The sequence below is a fragment of the Homo sapiens genome, chromosome 15, assembly GCF_000001405.40.
Source record: "Homo sapiens chromosome 15, GRCh38.p14 Primary Assembly".
NCBI classification, from domain to species: domain Eukaryota; kingdom Metazoa; phylum Chordata; class Mammalia; order Primates; family Hominidae; genus Homo; species Homo sapiens.
Window position 1 is genome coordinate 58,997,964 of NC_000015.10, and position 23,334 is coordinate 59,021,297.

The following is a 23,334-nucleotide window of genomic DNA, read 5'->3' on the forward strand; positions in this document are numbered from 1 at the left end:
GGGCGATCCTGGCTCACTGTAATCTCTGCCTCCCAGGTTGAATCAATTCTCCTGCCTCAGGCTCCCTAGTAGCTGGGATTACAGGCCCGTGCCACCACACCCGGCTAATTTTTGTATTTTTAGTAGAGACGTGGTTTCACTATGTTGGTGAGGCTGGTCTCGATCTCCTGACCTCGTGATCCGCCAGCCTCGGCCTCCCAAAGTGCTGGGATTACAGGCATGAGCCACCGTGTCTGGCCAAGCACATGTGTTTTTAATATTCCATGTGACAAAATGGGAAGTTTTTTTTTTTTTTTAAGTTTAAGTTCAGGGGTATAAATGCAGGTTTGTTACATAGGTAAACTTGTGTCATAGAGTTTGTTGTACAGATTATTTCACCACCCAGGTATTAAGCCTAGTACCTGTTAGTTATTTTTCCTTATCCTCTCCCTCCTCCCACCCTCCACACTCTGAAAGATTACAGTGAGTGTTCTTCCCCTCATTGTGTCCGTATGTTCTTGGGAAGGTTGTTACAGGGTCTTCCATTGCATACCAAAGTATGATGCTTATTTTGAGAAAAGAACTTGTTTGATTTAGTTATAAAATGGATTAGCAAACTAGTCACTTCTTTCATGGAACACATTTTTACTTGAAAGAAGCAAACTGTAGTTGTGTGAACTTGGATATTTGTACATATTTTCTCAAAAATAAATGAAGTGAGCCGTTCACTTCAAGAAAAACAAATGACAGAATTTATTGCCAAAATAAAATTCAAACTTTCAAGCAAAAATTAGAATTGTGGAAAACGCCTATCAGTCACTGTAATTTTGGCAGTTTCTCAGGACTTTGCAATGAGATTGGTTGTGTTATTAACAAAATTTATTTTTTTACTGTTACATAATGAAATGTGTCATGTTTGAAAGAGGTGCGTAACTTGGTGAAACAATATTTTTCAGATGACCATGATGTTACAAAGTCATGTCTGGGTGAAAGATCTATGTAAAGTGCAGTATCGAGCAGTTGTTTTTTCACTGATAGTATGAGGTTTCATTGATATGGTTTCAAATTCCACATTGCAATTAAGTTCAAACTGCCTTTGTAAAGTTTTGGGGTAGTATCAAAGAGGAATAACACCCACACTTACCTGAAAAGGTTATTAAATATACTACTCCCTTTTTCAACTACATATTTGTGTGAAACTGGATTTTCTTATAATTTAACCAGAACAGCATATCATGATAAATGGAATACAGATGCAGATGTGACAATCCAGTTTTCTTCTGTTAAGCTAGTCATTAGAGAGATTTGCAAAAAATGTATAGCATTACCGCTCTTATTAAAGTTTTGAAAATATTTTAATAAAAGTTACTTATATTAGATATAATGGGTTTGCAGTGGGGTTTGTTTGTTTTTGAGACGGAGTCACACTGTCACCCAGGCTGGAGTGCAGTGGTGCAATCTCAGTTCACTGCAATCTCCGCCCCCCAGGTTCAAGCAATTCTGCTGCCTCAGCCTCCCGAGTAGCTGGGATTACAGGCATGCACCATCACACCCGGCTAATTTTTGTATTTTTAGTAGAGACAGGGTTTCACTATGTTTCCCAGGCTGGTCTCGAACTCCTGACCTCAGGTGATCCGCCCACCTCAGCCTCCTCAAGTGCTGGGATTACAGGTGTCAGCCACTGTGCCCGGCCTATTACTGCAGTTTTAAAATAATACATTTTAAAGCATTTATGAGTTTTACTTTCTAATAGGGTAAGGGTATTAGTTCGTTCTCACACTGCTATAAATAACTGAGACTGGGTAATTTATAAAGAAAAGGGGTTTAATTGGCTCAAGGTTCCATAGGTTTTATAGGAAGCGTGGCAGCATCTGCTTCTGGGGAGGCCTCTGAGCTTTTACTCATGGTAGAGGGCAAAGCAAGAGTAGGTGTCTTACATGGCAGGAGCAGGAGAGAAGGGGGAAGTGCCACACAATTTTAAAAAACCACATCTCATGAGAACTCCATAATGAGAACAGCACCAAAGGGATGGTGCTGAACCATTAGAAATTGCCCAGATAATCCAGTCACCTCCAGGCAGGCCCCACCTCCAACAATGGGAATTACACTTTGACCTGAGATTTGGTTGAGGACACAGATCCAGACCATATCAATAAGTATCAGTAGATATAACCCATATAATAAAAGCTTTTTCAGATCTTCCAGTGATTTTTTTTTTCCCTTTTTTTTTTTTTTTTTTGAGACAGGGTCTCTCTCTGTTACCCAGGCTAGAGTGCAGTGGTGAGATCTTAGTTCACTACATTCTCTGCCTCCTGGGCTCAGGCAGTCCTCCCACTTCAGCCTCCCAAGTAGCTGGGACTACAGGCATGTACCACCACACTTGGCTCATTTTTCTATTTTTAGTAGAGACGGGTTTCACCATGTTGTCCAGGCTGATCTCAAACTGCTAGGCACCCGGCCCATTTTTAAGATTATGAAGGACCTCAGGACCGGGCCTGGTGGCTCACATCTGTAATTGCAGCACTTTGGGAGGCCGAGGCAGGCGGATCACCTGAGGTCAGGAATTTGAGACCAGCCTGGCCAACTTGGGGAAACCCTGTCTCTACGAAAAATACAAAACAGCCAGGTATGGTGGCGGGCGCCTATAATCCTAGCTATTCGGGAGGCTGAGGCACGAGAATTGCTTGAACTGGGAGGCAGATGTTTCAGTGAGCCAAGATGGCACCACTCCGCTCCATCCTGGGTGACAGAGCTGAACTCCGTCTCAAAAAAAAAAAAAAAAGATAACTGCTGCTGCAGAGAATTAACCAATTTTTGATGGTAGATGAGCCCACTATTCTCCTTTCATCCCATCTTTCAGTTATGTCAGAATTTTTGATTATTTTAAAGAACAATTCAGCAAATGCCTATTGAATGCCAAATATGTGTTCTAAGCTTTTGGGCACATAGTAGTGATCAAAACGAAATCTGCTCTGGTGGGGAAACAAAGTTGTAGATGGTCATTGTGGAAATAAGTGAGCTGGAAAAGGAAGATAGAGGGTGGGGTTAACTTTTTATTTTTTTGCCTTTCCACAAAAATTTTAATGTTGGTATTAACTACTAATGTGAGGTGGTCAGGGAAGGTATCATGGATAAGGAAACATTTGAACACAGATGTAAAGGAAGTGAATGAGTGAGCCTCGTGGTTATCTGGGGGAAGAGCATTCAAGGCAGCGTGACTAGCCATAGCATGGTTGACCTGCTTGAGAAATAGCCTAGAAACTACTGGGGCTTTAGTGGAGTAGGTGAGGAGGAGAATGGTGGTCTCTGAGAACAGAGGTATGAAGGGTTCATGTTCTTCAGTTATATGAAATATTTACATTGCCTTTGATAACTTCTTAGCCATTTTTTACCTCTCTTCTCTTTTCTGGATTTCCTGTCAATCAGGTAACAGGATTCTATTGCCATCTCTACTTTGCCTGCTATTAGTTCCTATTTTTGTTGTTGATTAAAAAAAAATTCTTTTTACTATCAGTTTAGTGGGGATTGGAGGGAGATTTGAAATAAAGGTCTTGTATAACTTACCATGTTTTTAAAAAATGTGAACTTTTGCTTTTGATAATCATGACAGTTTTACCAGGAAAAAGTTATATTAGTGACATGGAAATGGGCTCTCCACATTTGGCGAATAGGTTCACTTTAGGAAGACTAAGTCTATTTTGACAGCTAGGTTCTTTAATAGAAAATACTTAATACTTTTATTAAGTGAAGAAAATCATGTGATATAAGATTTGTTACAGAACACCTACAAAACATACATTATCATGGGATTTTATTTTATTTTTTATGAAATCATGTTTAAAGAACTAAGTACAGTAGTCCTCCCTTATCCATGAGGGATACAGTCCAAGACCCCCAGTAGATGCTTAACAGCCACAACATGCATACCTATTATAAAGTTTAATTTATACATTGGGCAGAGTAAGACATTAATAGCAATAACTAATAAAAAAATTTATAACTATATTTAATAAAAATTGTGTGAATGTCATCTCTCAAAATATTGTACTCACCTTTCTTGTGATGACGGAAAATGATGATAAAATGGCGAAATGAGGTTAATGACATGGGCACTGTGTAGGCATTCATAAGCGGTTAAAGCTTGTGAGCTGTTTATTTCTAGAGTTTTTTCTTTAATATTTTTGGACCATGGTTGACCATAGGTAACTGAAACCGTAGACAGTAAATTGTGGTTAAGGGGAGACTACTGTATAGTGTTGGTTAAAACTCACCATTCTATTTTCTTGACTATCTTCCCGCCATTTCTCTGATGTATCCTTATCCTTATTCTCCACTTGAAATTTTACTTTTAAAGATCAACTCTTAAACTTCTTTCAGGTTTTTCCTTTAGAATTAATAGCTGTCCCTTCCGTTTTCCCATGGTATTTGGTACTTTGTTATTTGTAGCAGTTACCATGCTTTATTAGAACATTCTTATGTGAGGGACAAGTTCCTGAAAATCTGCATGGTAAATACGGGAAGTACGGTTGAGTAACATATGTAATAATCTTATGTAAAAGTAGTCATGGGAACTGAAGTTCTGAGTGAAAGCCCTCATAACTGTGCATTTAATTAAAAAAAAAAAAAGAGAGAGAGTGACCAAACTCAACAACTTAGATAGTCATTTAGATCCAGGCTTTGCTATCAGGTCTTAGGCAAGTCACTTCTGTAATCTTCAGTTCCCTATAGTTCTTAGTAAAGATAAAATGAAATAAAAATGTGGCACACAGTTCCCTACAGGCTCTACCTGATCTGGCCCTGACTACTTCTGATGTCATTGTGTGCCATTTCCCTTTCCTTCCACTTCCCTTCTTTTAGTTCTTTGCACCTGTTAGGCATATTCCTGTCACATAGTCTTTCCTATTTTTTCTCTCCCAGGAATACTCTTCCTCTAGAATTGTGTGGCTTGACTGACTAGTGGCTAGTTTCTTGTCATGATTCATGTCTTTAGCTTCTTAGAGAGGATCCTGTTGATGGTCAACCTTTACATTTGTTTTGTTTTCTTTCTTCCTTTTTTGTGATAAGATCTCATTATGTTGCCAGCGCGGGATTGCAGTTGGCTATTCACAGGTGCTATTAAAGCTTACTGCAGCCTTGAACTCCTGGCCTCAAGTGATCCTACTGCCTGTTTAATTTTCTTTTTTCTTTTTTCGAGACAAGGTCTCACTCAGTTTCGCAGGCTGGAGTGCAGTGGCTCAATGTCAGCTCACTGCAACCTCTGCCTCCTGGGCTCAAGCGATCCTCCCACCTCAGCCTCCTGAGTAGCTGGGACAGGCATGTACCACCACACCCAGCTAAGTTTTTGTAGAGACATGCTTTTGCCCTGTGGCCCAGGCTGGTCTGGAACTCCTGAGCTCAAGCCATCTGCCCACCTTGACCTCCCAAAGTTATGGGATTACAGGTGTGAGCCGCCACACCCGGCCTTTTTCTTTTTTGAGACAGAGTCTGGCTCTGTTGCTCAGACTGGAGTGCAGTGGCATGATCCCTGCTTACTGCAACCTCCACCTCCTAGGCTCAAACCATCCTCCCACCTCAGCCTCTCCAGTAGCTGGGACTACAGGTGCGTGCTACCACACCCAGCTAATTTTTTTAAAATTTTTTGTAGAGACAGGGTTTTGCCGTGTTGCCCAGGCTGGTCTTGAACTCCTGAGCTCAAGCGATCTGCCTGCCTCAGCCTCCCAAACTGCTGGAATTACAGGTGTGAGCCACTGCACGTGGCGTATTTTCTTAATAGCACGTGTTTCGCTCTAAAATTATCTTGGTTTTTTGGTCTCATTTGCATGTAATTTCCATGAGAGCAAAGACTTTCTATGTCCTGTTCGTGGCTGATGCCAGTGCCTAAAACAAGTGCCTAGCTCATTATAGGCTTTCAATAAATATTTATTGAATGAGAACCATAAATGAATAAGTGATAGCTAATGTATTGTCAGTGATACTGTATCTTCTAAAATATTAATAAGCTACTGTAAAATTAATTTCTCTTTCCTGATTGACTTTTCTTGGTTTTGTTCTCATTCCAGATGCTTGGGATGGAAGAAGTTTGAGTGACCTATCCTGTGTTTATCCTCCTTGCCGTAGCTGAGTTGATCTTTTTGAAACCCTCTTCCCAGACTCTTGGATTTATTTATTTTATTCCAGTGTGAATGCATGTTTTTTCCCTCATAGATGGCAGTTCTGGATTAGCAGTTTTAAGGTCTCAACTTTGTTTTTAGTTATCTTCCTTTAACAAGCTTCAATTTAAAATACTCCTTCTTTTCTCTCCCAATTATCTTTACTGATCCTTAGTTGTCTCTTTTTATTATCTCCAACAGAAGGAACTTGCTGTTTAGGTTTACTGAAACTAAAATTCTGAAGATTGCAAAAAAGTATATAGGTAAATGTGTGTAGATGAGACTTAACGTGTACAAGAATTCACATTAGGATTAAGGTTACTATTTTTATCTAGAATATGAAATTTGTTAGGAAAGGGTAGCACCTTACTATCTTTTTATCACCTTGATCAGTGACGTACAGTAAAAATTCAAACCATAAAAGGTTTGTTAAATAAAGTAGCTGACATCAGTATGCAGGATAATGAATTCTTGGTTTCCCCAAACCAGTATTCTAGAGTTGTTTAATATCTTGGTGTTTTTTGTTTCTTGTAACAAGAATTTTCACTTCACTGTCTGAATATACTGATCCAAGGAAAGCAAAAATGGCATTTAGTCAAAGATAACCTTGGAAATCCCTAAAGTTGCCCAAATATACATTATAAATATGCAGTCTCTGGAAGTCTAGCACTTCCCGTTTTCCCTCCACTATTGGAATAAATCATGTTTTCATTGTTAAATATCAGAGAAAGAGTAGGTTTGTGTATATGGCCTATAATATGGGAAAAATAAATGGCTCTAAATATTAGAATCTGACAGCATAGTAAGATGCTCACATTCTGAGAGACACTTGGGAAGTGAGACCCAGTGGAGAGCAGCAAAATTTAATCTCCTATTTTGTGTTGATTCTAGGCATATAATCAGTGAGCAGAAGGGCAAGCATAATCTCCTACATGGTTTAAATTATTTTTTTCTTGTCAAGTTCACTTTATGGGCTTGATGTCTATCTAGAGGTGTTCTCCCAAATTCCAACTTTCAGTATGCCTATACTGTCAGCCATTAAAGTGTCAGTAAGTCTTCCTGGTTTTCCTCTTACAACTCAAGTTCTCTTTCTTTAGTACATACTGTTTGTTTATTTGTCGAGACAGTCTCACCTATGTTGCCTAGGCTGATCTCAAACTCCTGGGCACAAGCAGTCCTCCCTGCATGAAGTGCTGGGATTACAGGCACGAGCCACTGCACCCAGCCTCTAGAACATAGGCTTTCATTACTATTCTCCAGATTACATATTTTGACTGACCTAAATCATATATGTAGAGTAAAAACAAATTTTATCTAAATAAACTTATTGGACTTCATTCAAAGAGAAATTGTTTCCTTGGGCAGTTTTGCTCCCAACATTAGATCCCGCATTCTCAGGACAGCTGTCATCTTTTTAATTTAGTTTTCTGATTTTATTTTTATTTATTTTGTTACTCCAACCTTTGCTTTGGCCTTTAACAACTCAGTGTTTTGGTCTAATCTTCAAGAGGAATTTGAGGTTCACTTGAATAAGTTAGACTAGTTTGAGGTGGGTGTAGCTAGAGGATTGAAGTCGTACCAAAAAAAAAATGTATGTATATGTATATGTGGTGATCGTGGGTAGGGGGAAGAATTCAGAGGGAAGAAGCTTGTGGACGTCTTTGCCTGGACGATTTCTAAAAACTAGCTGACTCGTCATCTTTAAAACAACAACAATAAAAGCTATCATATGCATATGTTACTTTGTTTAATATTTACAACAACCCTTTGTGGTAAATATTTTCATTTTTCAGATGAGGAAATTCAGGCACAGAATGATTAATAATTTGCTAATGAGTCACAGCAGTGATGGGGATGTGGAGATTTAAATCAATGCATTTTGAGTTGCCTGAGCAAAGAATTCCAAAATTTAGGAAGTCACTATTTCTGTATTTCCTTCTAAGGAAAACCATCTAAAGTATATTTTTATCTCCAGTAGGCGTGGTCATTGTCAAGAGAAGGAAAGGTTGGTGATTTTATTAGGGTGATGGGATTGGGACTTAATTTCTCTTTGCTTTTTCTGTGTATTCCAGATTTTATATAGTGAACTTATTTTAAAAACCAACCAAGTTGATGTTTGATGTATAATTTATATACAATATGAGGCACACGTTTTATGTATAGTTGGATGAATTTTGGCAAATGTGTCTGTCCATGCAGTTAGCACCCCAATCAGGACATAAAACATTCCATCACTCTAGAAAGTTCCTTTGTGCTCTTTTGCCATCAGCCACCCACATCTCCTGCCTCAGGCAACTACTCATCTGATTTTTGACATCATAGATGAGTTTTCTTTGTTTTAGAATTTCATGTAAGTAGTAGTATTATTACTCTTGTGTTTGATACTCTGCTCATCAAATGTTTTCCCTTTAGCATTTTATTATGCAAAATTGCAAACAGAAAAGATGAAAGAATTGTACAGTGAACGCCCATCTCCCTGCCACCTAGATTCTATGATTAACAATTTGCTATTTTTTTGCTTTACATTTCTAGCCATCTATTTGTTCCTCCAACCGTCCATCAACCAAACCTGTTGCTTTTTATGCATTTTAAAGTTACAAAAATAAAAAAAATAAAGTTACAGACGCCAGTGCATTTTACCCGTAAAAAACTACAGTTTCATGTCACTAACTAGAGTCAAATATTTGTTTACAGTTATTTATTTTTTTTCTTTGAGATGGAGTCTTGCTCTGTCGCCCAGGCTGGAGTGCAATGGCATGATCTTGGCTCACTGCAACCTCCGCCTCCCGGGTTCAAGCAGTTCTCTGCCTCAGCCCCCCGAGTAGCTGGGATTGCAGGCGCCCGCTACCACGCCCAGCTAATTTTTTTGTATTTTTAGTAGAAATGGGGTTTCACCATCTTGGCCAGGCTGGTCTTGAACTCCTGACCTTGTGATCTGCCTGCCTCAGCCTCTTGAAGTGCTGGAATTCCAGGCTGTTTACAGTTTTTAAAGTAAACTTTACATACGGTGAAATGCACAAATCTTAAGTATACCATTTAAGTTTTGCCAAATGCATCTATTTATTGCCCAAATCCTTATGAAGGTATTGAACACGAACAACCATGACCTCAAAAAGTTACATGCTCCTTCCTTGTCAGTCCTTTCCCCATCCCTTGAAGACACAACCAATGTTCAATTTTTTTTTTTTTTTTACTTTAGGTTAGCTTTGCCTGTCTGGAATTTCAAATAAATAGAAGCATACCGATACTTTGTGTCTAGTTTTCCCTTAGCATGATATTTTTGAGATTAATCCGTATTGATACATGTATCAGTAGTTCCTTCTTTGTTGTTGCTGTTTGGTATCCCGTTGTAGCTGTATAACATAATTTATCCATTCACTTGGAGATTTATTTTTTCTCTAATTTTTGGCTATTATGAGTAAAGCGATGAACATTCATATACAAGTCTTTGTATTCACGTTTTCCAACTTAGGCATGGAATTACTGGATCATACGTTAGATGTGTGCATAACTAACATTATTAGAAGCTGCCAGAGAGTCATGTGTGGAGTTCCAGTTGTGGAATATCCTTGCCAGTGTTTGGTGGTTTTGGTCTTTTTAGTTTTAGTCTTATTGGGTGTGTAATGGTATATTACTATAGTTTTAATTTGCATTCCTCTGGTGACTAAAGATATTGAAGATTTTTAAATTTACTTATTGGGTATTTTTGTATGTTTTGTAAAATCTTTTGCCTATTTTTTGTGGGGTTGTGTTATTAGAATATAAGAGTTTTTTATATTCAGTATTCAAGTTACGTATATGTGTTTGTATACACACACAAACACATGTATATATAATTTTATCTGTCTTTAGCTTACCAGCTTGTCCTTTTGTTTTCTTAATGCTGTCTCTGAAGAGCGGAGGTTTTGATTTTGATAAAGTCAAGCTTACTAATTTTTTTAAGAAATGGTAGTACTTTCTGTATCCTGTGAAATCTTTGCCCATGATATAATCACATAAACTTTCTGCTGTGTTTTTTCTAGAAGCTTTATAGTTTTAGGTTGAGTTAGTTTTTGTATCTGGTGTGAGGTAGGTGTTGAGATTCCTTTTTTTCCTATCTGGCTCTCCAGTTGTTTCACGACCATTTTTGTTTGTTTGTTTTTGGAGACAAGAGTCTTTCTCTGTTGCCCAGGCTGCAGTGCAGTGGCACAGTCGTGGATCACTGCAGCCTCATCCTCCTGAGCTCAAGCGATCCTCCTGCCTCAGCCTCCTGAGTAGCTGAGACTGCAAGGACGCACCACCATGCCTGACTAGTTTTAAAATTTTTTTGTAGAGACAGGGTCTCACTTTATTGCCCAGGCTGGTCTCGACTCCTGAGCTCAAGCAATCCTCCTGCGTCAGCCTCCCAAAGTGCTGGTATTTACAGGCGTGAGCCACCGCACTCAGCCTACCACCATTTGTTGAAAAAACAGTTCCTTCCTCATTATCTTGGCACTTTTGTTGGAAAATCATTTGATGATATATTTAAGTCTGTTTCTGGACTCTCTAGTCTGTCCTTACACCAATAGCCCCAGTGTTGATACAATTGGATTTAAATCTGTCAGTTTGCTGTTTGTTTTCTGTTTGTCCCACCTGTCCCTTTTCTCTTTTCCTGCCTCCTTTTGGATTGAGGGTTTTTAAAAATCATATTACATTTATCACCACTTTTGGCTTATACTTTAAAAAAAATCTTTTGTGGTTCTTTTAGGGTTTACACTATGCATCTTTGTCACAGTCTTTCTTCAAGGAATAATAGACGGTTGTATGTATAATATGAGAAACTTAAAACAGTATACTTTCATTTGTTCCCCTCCTGTCCTTTGTGTTAATATTGTCACGTATTTTATTTTATTTTATTTTATTTTTTTGAGACAGAGTCCCATTCTGTCACCCAGGCTGGAATGCAGTGGCACAATCTTGGCTCACTGCAACCTCCACCTCCTGGGTTCAAGCGATTCTCTTGCCTCAGCCTCCCGAGCAGCTGGGATTATAGGTGCACCACCATGTCCAGCTAATTTTTTTGTATTTTTAGTAGAGATGGGGTTTCACCAAGTTGGCCAGGCTGGTCTTAAACTCTGACCTCAGGTGATCCGCCCACCTTGGCCTTTCAAAGTGCTGGGATTACAGGCGTGAGCCACTGCGCCTGGCCACGTATTTTACTTTTACATGTTATCAGCTTTGGGAGGATTTATTTTTCATATCTTGGGATATTTCATCTTAGCTAGAGCATAGTCTTTGTGAGGGTGACTATCTCTGTGAGGGAAGATGCTAGTAGAACCCACTTTATTCCATTGTGCTTTTTACAAGTGACCAAATGGTGATGACTTAATATCAAAGTCAGTATGACTTAATATCAAATATCAAAGTTTTCTGATCTGAAATTATCAAATTCTAAAGAAAAAGTCTTTAGAATTTGATAATTTCAGATCAGAAAACTTTGATATTTGAGTCTGAAGAAAGGTGATTAGATAATATAGAACGATACCAAAATTAGAACTTGGAGCATTTGTGAGTGAGTGTCCAGAATATTACCCAGTAATTTGACTCAAGGAAATTATTCAGTGGCCGGGCACAGTGGCTCATGCCTGTAATCTCAACACTTTGAGAAGTTGAGGCAGGTAGATCACTTGAAGCCAGGAGTTTGAGACCAGACTGGGCAACATGGCAAAACCTCGTCTCTGCAAAAAATTCAAAAAATTAGCTGGGCATGATGGCTCATGTCTCTAGTCCCAGTTACCTGGGAGGCTGAGGCGGGAGGATCACTTGAGCCCAGGAAGTCAAGGCTGCAGTGAGCTGTGATCCTGCCATTGTGCTCCAGCCTGGGCAAAAGCAAGACCTTATCTCAAAAACAAACAAACAAAAATTAAAATGATTTTGCTAAATTGTAAGTTAATTATTTTCAGGTTCTGATTTTGTCATTCAGTTTATATGCAATTTTTTTTTAGCTTTGTGTCATTTGAGAATGTGACATTTTGTTTATGCCCTCACATGAAATCATGGCTAAAAACAGATTTTGGAATACATGTTATCGGCAAATTTTTAATTGTGAACATTGTTTTATGCTGCTAATTATATATTTTTAGACAAGTTTTGGGATTGATTCTTTTTGTTTTAATTTAAGAAAAATATTTATTTTGAAATTAATAAACCCATGACATGTAAATATAAATAGTATTTTATGAAAACTTTTTCAAAACAAAAACATTGAGAAGAGCAAATTTCATATTTTTGCAGCTGTGTCTGTCTTGATAGATGACAGATGGATTCCACATCTGTTTTATTTATTTATTTATTTTTTCTTTCTTTTTTTGAGATGGAGTCTCACTCTGTCGCCCAGGCTGGAGTGCAGTGGTGTGATCTCAGCTCACTCCAACCATTGCCTCCTAGGTTTAAGCGATTCTCCTGCCTCAGCCTCCCAAGTAGCTGGGATTACAGGTGCCCACCACCACACCTAACTAATTTTTATATTTTTAGTAGGGACAGGGTTTTACCATGTTGACCAGGCTGGTCTTGAACTCCTGACATCAGGTGATCTGCCCACTTTGGCCTCCCAGAGTGTTGGGATTACAGTCATAAGCCACCACATCTGACCTCCACATCTGTTTTAATCTTTGAAGTGTATTATAAGTTATAGTTCTCCCTGCTTGAAGGTAATGGAAAAGTTGAGACTGGGTTGCCTGATGAGAGATGTAGGGAGCTTAGTATTAATGTTGAAGATTAAAGGAGAGCCTGTGGTTTTAGGTCTAATACAGTAGATTCCTTCTCCTGTTATTTAATTGGAATGAATTCTGAGGGAAATTTTGTAATTCTGTGGGCTTTTGTCTAGTTTTTCATATGCTCAAAAGTGTCTGAAGAAGTCATCTAATTTCCCCTTTTCTCCCTAACGGTCATCGTTCTAGACAGATAGTTGTTTGAATTTGGCATCTTGAAGATGAAAAATTGTCTATCAGAAGATTGTATTTTGTCTTTCATATAACTTGTTTTATACATTTTTAGGTATACTTCATCATTAATTATATAGTTTATTCAGGGAAACTCTGCCATGAGAAATAGGGTAATTGGGTCTCTGTTCTTCGAATTTCACTGTCTTATCCTTCCTGGAAAACTTTTCCTGGTACACCCTACCCTTCAGAATCGGATTAGATTCTACTTCTATTAAGTTTCAGTGCATACCTCTATCATAACACTTATACTGCATTTTGATTACCTAGTGATATTTCTCACTAACTGCTAGACTATAACTTCCTCAGGACTGGTCTGTGTCTTTATTCATTCTTGTGTTTACAATACTTGGGGCATTCTAGCACATTTAAGGTACTCAGAAAGTGTTTATTCCACAGTGTATTAGTTTGCTTGGGCTGCGGTAATGAAATGCCACAGATGGAGTGGCTTAAACCACAAAACTTTACTTACTCCTAGTTCTGTAGAGTGTAAGTCCAGTATTAAGGTATCAGCAGGTTTGGTTTTTCCTGAGGCCCCTCTTCTTGGTTTATAAATGATCGCTTGCTGTGTTCTCACATAATCTTTTTTTCTGTGTGTTTGCATCCTGATGTTGCTTTGTGTGTTTAAATTTCCCCTTCTTTTAAGGACTCCAGTCAGATTGGATTAGGACCCATTCATATGACTTCATCTAACATTAATTACCTCTTTAAATGTCTTATCTCTAAATACAGACACATTTTGAAGTACTGGGTGTTAGGACTTCAACGTATGAATTTTGGGGAACACAAAGAAGTTCATAGCACATTGAAACTGACACTTGGCATATGTTCCAACTGAAGATAATGTCTTATGGTTCACTACCAAACTAGGATTGTCAAAGTTGGGACCAAAGATTCCTAGCTTATATAAGAATAAGTGGCTTAATTTTAGTGTTCTTTTTTGTTTGTTTGCCTTTTTTTTTTTTTTTTTTTTTTTTTTTTTGAGATGGAGTCTCGCTCTGTCACCCAGGCGGGAATGCAGTGAGTGGTGCGATCTTGCGTCACTGTAACCTCCGCCTCCTGAGTTCAGGTGATTCTCATGCCTCAGCCTTCTGAGTAGCTGGGATTACAGGCATGCATCTCCACACCCGGCTGATTTTTGTATTTTTAGTAGAGACACAGTTTCACTGTGTTGGCCAGGCTGGTCTCGAACTTCTGACCTCAGGTGGTCCACTTGCCTAGGCCTCCCAAAATGTTGAGATTACAGGCGTGAGCCACTGCACCTGGCCTGCTGTTCTGTCTTAATTTCCACTTAGGTAATTACAGTATTTGATAATTAAGACCCTTAGCCTTTAGTGCTTTGAAGTACTACTTATCTGTTCTCATTTAATAGTAGGTTTTCTTTACGCTTTATGTCACAAAAAGATAAAAGACAGGTATACACACTTGGGCATATGTATGCTTTGTGTACGTATTGACTATTAATGCATGATTGCTGAACATTTTAACACAAGAAATGTGTTTATTTGGAAAATTACCAGTGGTAATTTGAGAAGATGACATGATTGGATGTTTTAATAGAAAAATTACGTATAATTTTTTGACTTACACATAATTTCTCAGTGTATACAGATGTATGTCTTGCTATCCCAGTGGAGCAACTGGATGGTTTTAGGCCCTTTCTTTTCTCATGGTGGTTCCAACTCTTTTTTTCTTTTTTTTTTTTTGAGACAGAGTCTTGCTTTGTCACCTGGGCTGGAGTGCAGTGGCACAATCTCAGCTCACTGTAACCTGTGCCCCCCAGGTTCAAGCGATTCTCCCACCTCAGCCTCCCAAGTATCTGTGATTACAGGTGCCTGACACCACACCTGGCTAATTTTTGTATTTTTAGTTGAGACGGGGTTTCGCCATGTTGGCCAGGCTGGTCTTGAACTCCTGACCTCAGGTGATCCACCTGCCTTGGCCTCCCAAAGTGCTGAGATTATAGGCGTGAGCCACCGCGACCGGCCTGGTTCCAGCTTTAGATTTTTGGAGATTGGCAGTAGTGAGAGAATGGATGGTGAAGTTAGAGAGCAGGGTAAGCTCCATAGTCACTCATTTCTCTCCTGCCTTTCCTAGGGATCAGGGGAAGTTTGTAAATAATACCCTTGTTTTTAAAAAAATGAATTTATTTTGCAGTAGTTTTACATTTACATTGCAAAAATAGTACACAGAGTTCCCATATATCGCTCACTCAGTTACCCTTGTTGTTAACATCTTACCCATTACACGTTTGTCATGACTAAGAGACCCACATTGATACATCACTGTTAAATAAACTCCAGATAATATTTCATTGTAGACTCTGGTTTCACAGTTTCTCAGTCTTCCCTTATTTTTTCTAACAGTTTTGTGGGTTACCTGTCAAATATTTTATAGACCATCCCTGAATCTAGGTTAGTGGAATGTTTTTCTCATAGTTTGGGGTTTTGGGAAAGAATACCACAGAAGTAAAGTGCCCTGCCTTTCTCATCACATTGTATCAGGAGTACATGGTGTCAACATGACTTAGCACTGATTTGATCAATTGTGATCAGCTGGCTGAGTAGTGTTTGCCAGGTTTCTCCACTATAAAGTTACTCTTTTCTTGCCTACTTGAGATTGGTGGGGGAGGGGTTGTTAAGTTTCAACTCCTGAACGAGGGAGTGTCCACATAAATGTTTGGAATTCTTCTGTAAGGAAGATTTATTTATATCAGTATGGATTCATGGATATTCATTTTTTTTCTTTTTTTTTGGAGACAAGAGTCTCACTCTGTTGCCCAGGCTGGAGTATAGTGGTGCTTTCTTGGCTCACTGCAACCTCTGCCTCCCAGGTTCAAGTAATTCTTATGCCTCAGCGTCCCGAGTAGCTGGGGTTACAGGCACACGCCACCACGCCTGGCTAATTTTTGTATTTTTTAGTGGAGACAAAGGTTTCACTATATTGCCCAGGCTGGTCTTGAACTCCTGAGCTTAGGCAATCCGCCTTCCATGGCCTCCCAACATGCTAGGATTACAGGTGTGAGCCACTGCCGCCAGCCTCATTTTTAAATTTTGGAGTAGAATTAATACTACATTATTTATTTTGTTGTCAAAATTTTTCCAGCTTTGGCCTTTGGGAGCTCTTTCAGCTTGGTTCCAGTGTCCTGTTTGACATGCCCCTATTCTTTTGTGTGTTTCTTTACTTTCTGGCACTACCAGATGCTACAGGCTTGTATTTTCAATGCCCTGGTGAAATCAGCTGTTTTGCCAAGAAACCTTTGTTCTTTTTATTGGAGAATGGTATTACAAGTCAGAATCTGAGCACTAGGACTTAGTGCCCTTTTTGACTCCTCAGTTCCTATGCAGAATGCTTGGAGAATTTGAATCTGGATATTTGGAGGAATAGTGAAGGGTAAAAATACCTGCAGTATCACATTTGTATCATAATACTTGGCAGTATCTATGTGTTGACTTTTCTGCTGTGGAATTATAGAAAGCAGCTTTTCAAAAGCATTTTTCTGTTCTTAAGAAGTTAGAAAGCTTCAGAAGAAATGTATACTTGTTTTAGGGGCAAGCACATAGGGGAAAGTTGTTAGATTCTTCTGTTTTATTCTGAGTCTAAGAAAAAATGATCTCTCTTTGGGTGCAGAAAGAAAGCATGTTATCAGGAAAACTGCCATGAACAAAGAGGTGTATGTGAAAAATTGTATTAACAGGAATTGCAGACTTTTTTTTTTTTTTTTGAGACAGGGTCTTCCTCTATGGACCACCTGGAGTGCAGTGGCACCATCACGGCTCACTGCAGTCCTTACCTCCTGGGCTCAAGCGATTCTCCTACCTCAGCCTTCTGAATAGCTGGGACATGTGTGCGCCACCACTCTCCCCTAATTTTTGTATTTTTTTAGAGACAGAGTTTCACCATGTTGTCCAGGCTGGTCTTGTCCTGGCCTCAGGCCATCTGCCTGCCTTGGCCTCCGTAAGTGCTGGGATAATACGTGTGAGCCTGACCACTGTGCCTCGCCACCCAATTTCTTGTTATTTTAAAATTCTGTAGTTTGGCCTTTGCTATTTAGCCTTAGTTTTAGATCAGTACTTACTAGGACCAAAGTCGAATTTTTTAAATTCTGATATTTTTCTTCATAATTTTCTCAAAATAAAAGGGAAATAAAGAATAAAAATAAAATATGATGGATAAGATAGAAGTCACTTATGTTTTCCTTATCATTTTGAAGGCTTTCTTTGCATACTAGCATGTTAGAGATATTGTCATGTTTTGTGTTTTGTATGTTTCTAAATTTTTATTTTATCATTCTTATGAATTCACATATAGTTTTACAATAGTATTGAAATATTTTATGCATTTTAATAAAAATGGAGATAATATTGTTAGTCACAATTGGCATGTTAATGTGGTGAAACTGCTAAAACTACTCTTTGCCCCCATCACTGTAAGAGCTTCCTCCGTAGTCTTTCTGACTTTCCCTCTAGCCTGTTCCCTTCAGCTCCTCAGGTAAAGTCTTCCTAAAACTAGGTTAAACAGAAACCTATAATCCCTCACTCTGATAATTTGACCCTAGCTTATTCTCCCCTACTAAAAAAAAAAAAAGAACAAAAGAACCTACAGCCCCAAGCATTAGAGTATTTAGATGTTGCCATTTCTTAGCATTGTTTGAAGTGAATATTCTTCGCCCACCGTCACCCTGTGCATCCTTCATGGTTTGACTTGGATGTGACTTTCTTTATGAAGCCATTATCAGAGTCCTTAATTGCCTCGTTTTGTTCCTACAGAGTGCTTTTATTTATAGCATGTTTATAACGTATTCTGGTTATTTATTTATTTATTCGAGACAGGTTCTCACGCCCAGGTTGGAGTGCAGTGGCGTGATCTTGGCCCACTGCAACCTCTGCCCCTGGGCTCAAGTGATCCTCCCACCTCAGCCTCCTGAGTAGCTGGGACTCCAGGTGCACCCCACCACACCTAGATAACTTTTGTATTTTTAGTAGAGACAGGGTTTTGCCATGTTTTGACCTCCTAGCTCAAGCAGTCTGCCCACCTTGGCCTCCAAGAGTGCTAGGATTACAGGCATGAGTCACTGCTCCTGGCCAATTTTGGTTAAAAAATATATATATGTATATATATATAGTTTTTTTTTTTTAGAGATAGAGTCTTGCTCTGTTGCCAGGCTGGAGTGCAGTGGCATGATTTTGGCTCACTGCAACCTCCACCTCCTGGATTCAAGCGATTCTCCTGCCTCAGCCACTCGAGTAGCTGGGACTACAGGCACGCACCACCACGCCCAGCTGATTTCTGTATTTTTAGTAGAGATGGGGTTTCACCATGTTGGCCAGGATGGTCTTGATCTCTTGACTTCGTGATCTGCCCACTTTGGCCTAATTATTTATATTCTGTAATTCTTTCCATCATCCTAAATTGTGAGCTTCTTGAAGGATGGGAACCTGTATTTTCTCTCTCTGCCCACAGATCCAGCATATAAAGTAGTTATTCTGTAATTATTTGAATAATTGAGCATATACCATATTAGTCAACATTTTTCATCTTGCTCGGCCCACCATAATTTTGTTCTACCCTACCTATTTCAAACAGTATTTCCTGCCTCTCACAAGGATGTGCTCACTGCTTCAGTGACATTGTTTTCTCCAAAGAGTTCTGTATAGCAGGGTTCCCCAACCCCTGGGCCACGGACTGGTACCCATCTGTGGCCTATTAGGAACTAGGCCATGTACCAGTAGGTGAGTGGTGGATGAGTAGTGAAGCTTCATCTATATTTACAGCCAGTCCCTGTCACTTACATTACTGCTTGAGTTCTGCTTCCTGTCAGATCAGCAGCGGCATTCTTGTAGGAGCATGAACCCTATTGTGAACTGCATGTGAGGGATCTAGGTTGCTTGCTCCTTACGAGAATCTAATGCCTGATGATCTGTCACTGTCTCCCATCACCCCCAGTTGGGACCATCTAGTTGCAGGAGAGCAAGCTCAGGGCTCCCACTGATTCTATATTACGGTGAATTGTATAATATTATATATTGCAATGCAATGATAATAGAAACAAAGTGCACAATAAATGTACTCGGATCATCTCAAACCACACCCACCCACCCCCACCCTGGGTCTGTGGAAAAATTGTCTTCTACGAATCCGTTCCCTGGTGCCAAAAAGGTTGGAAACCGCTGCTGTGTAGGCCACGATAATTTTTATTTTTGTATTTTTAAGTTTGATTTTCCAGAGATCGTAAATGCGTCATTCAGCATATGTGACAATGCTTATTCATAAGAGAAACACCAAGCCATTTAATAGCATTGACAAAAAAATTAATAGTTCAGTATGTAAAATGTGCTGCTGTAAAGATTTAAGAGCTTATTTCGAAATATGGTTTAATTTTACATTTACCTGTTACAGATTGTTAAATTTTGAAGACATGTTGAAGCAGCCATCTTTTCTGTATATTTATAAAAACATCAATTGTCTTTAGGTTTGGCTTCTATCACTTTAAAAGAGAGAACTCTTCAGTTCCAATCTCCAAGGAAATCTGGAAGCCACTTAAAGTTCAGTTTTGGAAACAGGAAGTTAAAATAACAGAAATCTCTAAGAGTAGTTTGTAAGTTTGAAGCTTTGAAAGTTGACAGATTTATTACTTGAATTATCAAGAACAAAAGGTCCTGGAGGTTTGTCTTCCAGGTTTGTTACATTATTTGTTGAACTCTTTTTTTTTTTTTTTTTTTTTGAGATGGAGTTTCGCTCTTGTTGTCCAGGCTAGAGTGCAATGGCACAATCTCGGCTCTCTGCAACCTCCACTTCCTGGGTTCAAACGATTCTCCTGCTTCAGCCTCCCGAGTAGCTGGGATTACAGGCGCCTGCCATCATGCCCAGCTAATTTTTTGTATTTTTGGTAGAGACGGGGTTTCATCATGTTGGCCAGGCTGGTCTCGAACTCCTGACCTCAGGTGACCCACCTGCCTCAGCCTCCCAAAGCGCTGGGATTATAGGTATGAGGCACCACGCCCGGCCTATTTGTTGAGCTCTTATAGACTACTTTCCATTAATGCAGCAATCATAATTATTACACTTTTAATGAAGAAAGATTTTGTGAAATGGTTTGATAAATTATTATCATTTTCGAGCATTAAAATTTATTTGTAAAGATGGGTTCAAAAACAACATGCCTAGATTTGTAGACTAACATCAGTAACTAAAAATCATTTCTCACATTTGACAATTCCATTCAAATCTGCTAACGGTCACTGCCATTTCTGAGTTTCTGCCCTATTCTGTCATTAAGGTGTCCAGGATTGGTGGTCATTTCTGGTCACTTAAGAAATTTTATGCCTAGCCAAGATTCCTGTAAAAATTGTGCTTGCATATATTTGATTTGTTTGTGTAGAAATCTGTTGTCAACAAAGTTGTGTTCTAATATAGTGAAAAATTTAAATATATTATGTTCTCATAATTTATTTCCTTAAAAAATCTTTAATTTCAAAATTGGTAAATGGTTACTTTTTAGAAAAAAAACAAACTATATATACAGAAACTTATAAAGGGTAAAAGACCCCCACCCAGTGCTATAAATTTCTACCCTATTGTTTCACTCCCAAACTGTTAAGTGTGTATTTTACAAATGCATATATTAATATAAGTTGTTTTACGAAGAAGAATCCTATAATAGCAGACTTACTTGTAGTCCGTTTAAAGAAAATGATCCATACTTTCCATAACAGTTTGTACAAATCCTGCCTGATTTTAAAAGGCTGCTTAGCAGTTAATTTTATGTAATACTTTTTTTTAAATAAGAAAAGGATGAAAAAAAGTTTGAGTTCAGCTTTTCCCTTTTGTTTCTGCCCTCTTATTTGTGCATATAACTGTATATTTGTTTCTTTTCTTTTTTCTTTTTTTTGAGACAGCGCCATGCTCTGTCGCCCAGGTTGGAGTGCAGTGGTAAGACCTCAGCTCACTGCAGCCTCTGCCTTCCGGGCTTGAGTGATCCTCCCACCTCAGCCACCCGTGTAGGTGAGACTTCAGGCACGTGCCACCACCCTGGCTAATTTTTGTATTTTTGTATTTTTTTTTTTTTTTTTGTAGAGGTGAGGTTTCATGTTGCCCAGGGTGGTTTTGAACCCCTGGGCTCAAGTGATCCACCTGCCTTGGCCTCACAAAGTGCTGGGATTACAGGTGTGATCCATTTATTTATTTTATTAAATTAAGTTTTAATTATTTTAAAGTTCCACTGAACAAAATAATGAGAAAATGCAAACAATATTACTTTGAATGGATCCTTAGGTGTATATATTCAGGCCATTTGAAAAAATACAGTGTTTTTAAAGGCCTGATATGTCTGATGGTAATGTTTATGTTTTATAGTTTTAAAAAAAATTGGCTTTCTTCTAATTTGTGACGGAGCCAATTTGGAGTCCTTGTTCATCCAGAAATGAGGTCTCTCGCTCTTTACTAGGATTGTCTGTTACATCCTGTTGTACAGTTTTGTAGTGTTTTTCATATGGGTTTATACACCATTCTTGTCAGGCTTAATACCTTGGAATAACTATATAGCTATTTTTGTTGCTTTGGGGAAAGTGATCTTTTTTCCATTGTACTTTTAAACATGTTATTATTGGATATTTAAAAGTATTTAAGCCAGGCGTGGTGGCTTATGCCTGTAATCCCAGCACTTTGGGAAGCTGAGGTGGGTGGATCACCTGAGGTCAGGAATTCGAGACCGGCCTGGCCAACGTGGTAAAACCCTGTCTTTACTGAAAATACAAAAATTAGCCAGGTGTGGTGGTGTGTGCCTATAGTCCTAGCTGCTCGGGAGGCTGAGGCAGCAAAATTGCTTGAACCTGGGAGATGGAGGTTGCAGTGAGTCGAGATCGTGCCACTGCACTTCAGCCTGGGTGACAGACTGAGACTCCATCTCAAAAAAACAAAAAACACAAAAGTATTTATTGATAGGAAAATATAGCTACTGCACCGAAATGGGGTTAATGGATTTTTGAGTTTAGTTCTCTTAGATTTTATTTTATATATCATATAATTTTATATTTTGTGTTATATAAGATATAAATATATATTTCATATATAAAATACATATTTTATATATGTTAGATATATAAAATTTGTTAGATATGTAATATGCAAATATACTATATATTTTGTAAGATACTTAATTCTATATACAATAAAGATAATATGTATATACTGTACATAAATATAACAATATATGCATTATATATAGTAAATATGCATTATATATTGTAATATATAGTAATTAATTAGCAGTATCTTTATGTCTTATTTAGTATACATTTCAGGATCCAGGCTTCCTTACCAGAAATATTAGACACTTGTGCAGTATGCCCCTATGACTTGTAGTGCTGCCACCCTACCAAAAAAGAACTGACTCCCAGATACTGTTCAGGCTTGTGAGGTTAGATACACCCTTCATTTTGCTATTGGCTGTAATAATAACAGAGTCATTGCTAGAGCAGTAGACTCTGTAACATATTGAACTTCACCCAGTTTGTATTGACAGGAGATGTAAGTTGATGTTATGTTTCTCTTTGATGACTAATATTTAAGGATTTCAGAATACTTTAACAAGACAGATGAGAAAATCATTAAGTTCACTGAGAAATTGAAACCTATTAGTTGAGAGAGGTTTAACTTATCTGTTTCCAGAAGCAGAATATCTGGTATTAGAATTTAGGGGGCTGAAACATCCAGCTACCAAACTCCAGTCCTCCATAATAGAGGAAAGTCTGTAGAATTCTTGGCTTTGATAGGTTTTATGCTAAAGAAATTTGGTTCTTTGTTTCTATACTTCAAACTTTTGTGGGAACAGTTTTTTATGCCCTTCTTTTTTGTTGTTTTAATTTTTATTTTTTAAATCTCAGTAGGTTTTTGGGGAACAGGTGGTGTTTGGTTACATGAATAAGTTCTTTAGTGGTGATTTCTGAGATTTTGGTGCACCCATCACCTGAGCCATGTATACTGTACCTAATGTGTAGTCTTTTATCCCTGACCTCACTTTCCACCCTTTCCCCCAAAGTCCTTTGTATCATTCTTATGCCTCTGTGTCCTCATAGGTTAGATCCCAGATTTTATGCCCTGCCTTTTTTTGTTTGTTTGAGATGAAGTCTTGCTCTGTTGCCCAGGATGGAGTGCAGTGATGCGATCTCGGCTCACTGCAAACTCCGCCTCGTGAGTTCAAGTGATTCTCCTGTCTCAGCCTGGCCAGTAGCTGGGATTACAGGTGG

At 38.6% G+C, this 23,334-nt stretch overlaps 1 protein-coding gene across 30 annotated transcripts in view, besides 1 other annotated feature; it reads left to right on the forward strand.

The window, feature by feature from the left end:
- RNF111 (ring finger protein 111) overlaps positions 1-23,334 on the forward strand; it is a 109,757-nt gene that overhangs the window by 10,301 nt on the left and 76,122 nt on the right. For 25 of the 30 annotated variants that reach the window (XM_047432702.1, XM_047432708.1, XM_047432713.1 and 22 more), the window contains one exon: positions 6,039-6,211. The exons of the other annotated variants lie outside the window; for them this stretch is intronic. In XM_047432702.1, coding sequence (XP_047288658.1) covers positions 6,162-6,211 — 50 coding nt within the window. In that variant the 5' untranslated portion in view covers positions 6,039-6,161. The remainder of the gene's footprint in view (positions 1-6,038; positions 6,212-23,334) is intronic. 30 annotated transcript variants of the gene reach the window in all.
- Positions 21,116-21,165: a silencer, noted in NCBI's record as "silent region_6486". NCBI's record gives its function as "represses an Ori minimal core promoter by ATAC-STARR-seq in GM12878 lymphoblastoid cells {active_cell/tissue: GM12878}" and the evidence as "EXISTENCE:reporter gene assay evidence [ECO:0000049][PMID:35858748]".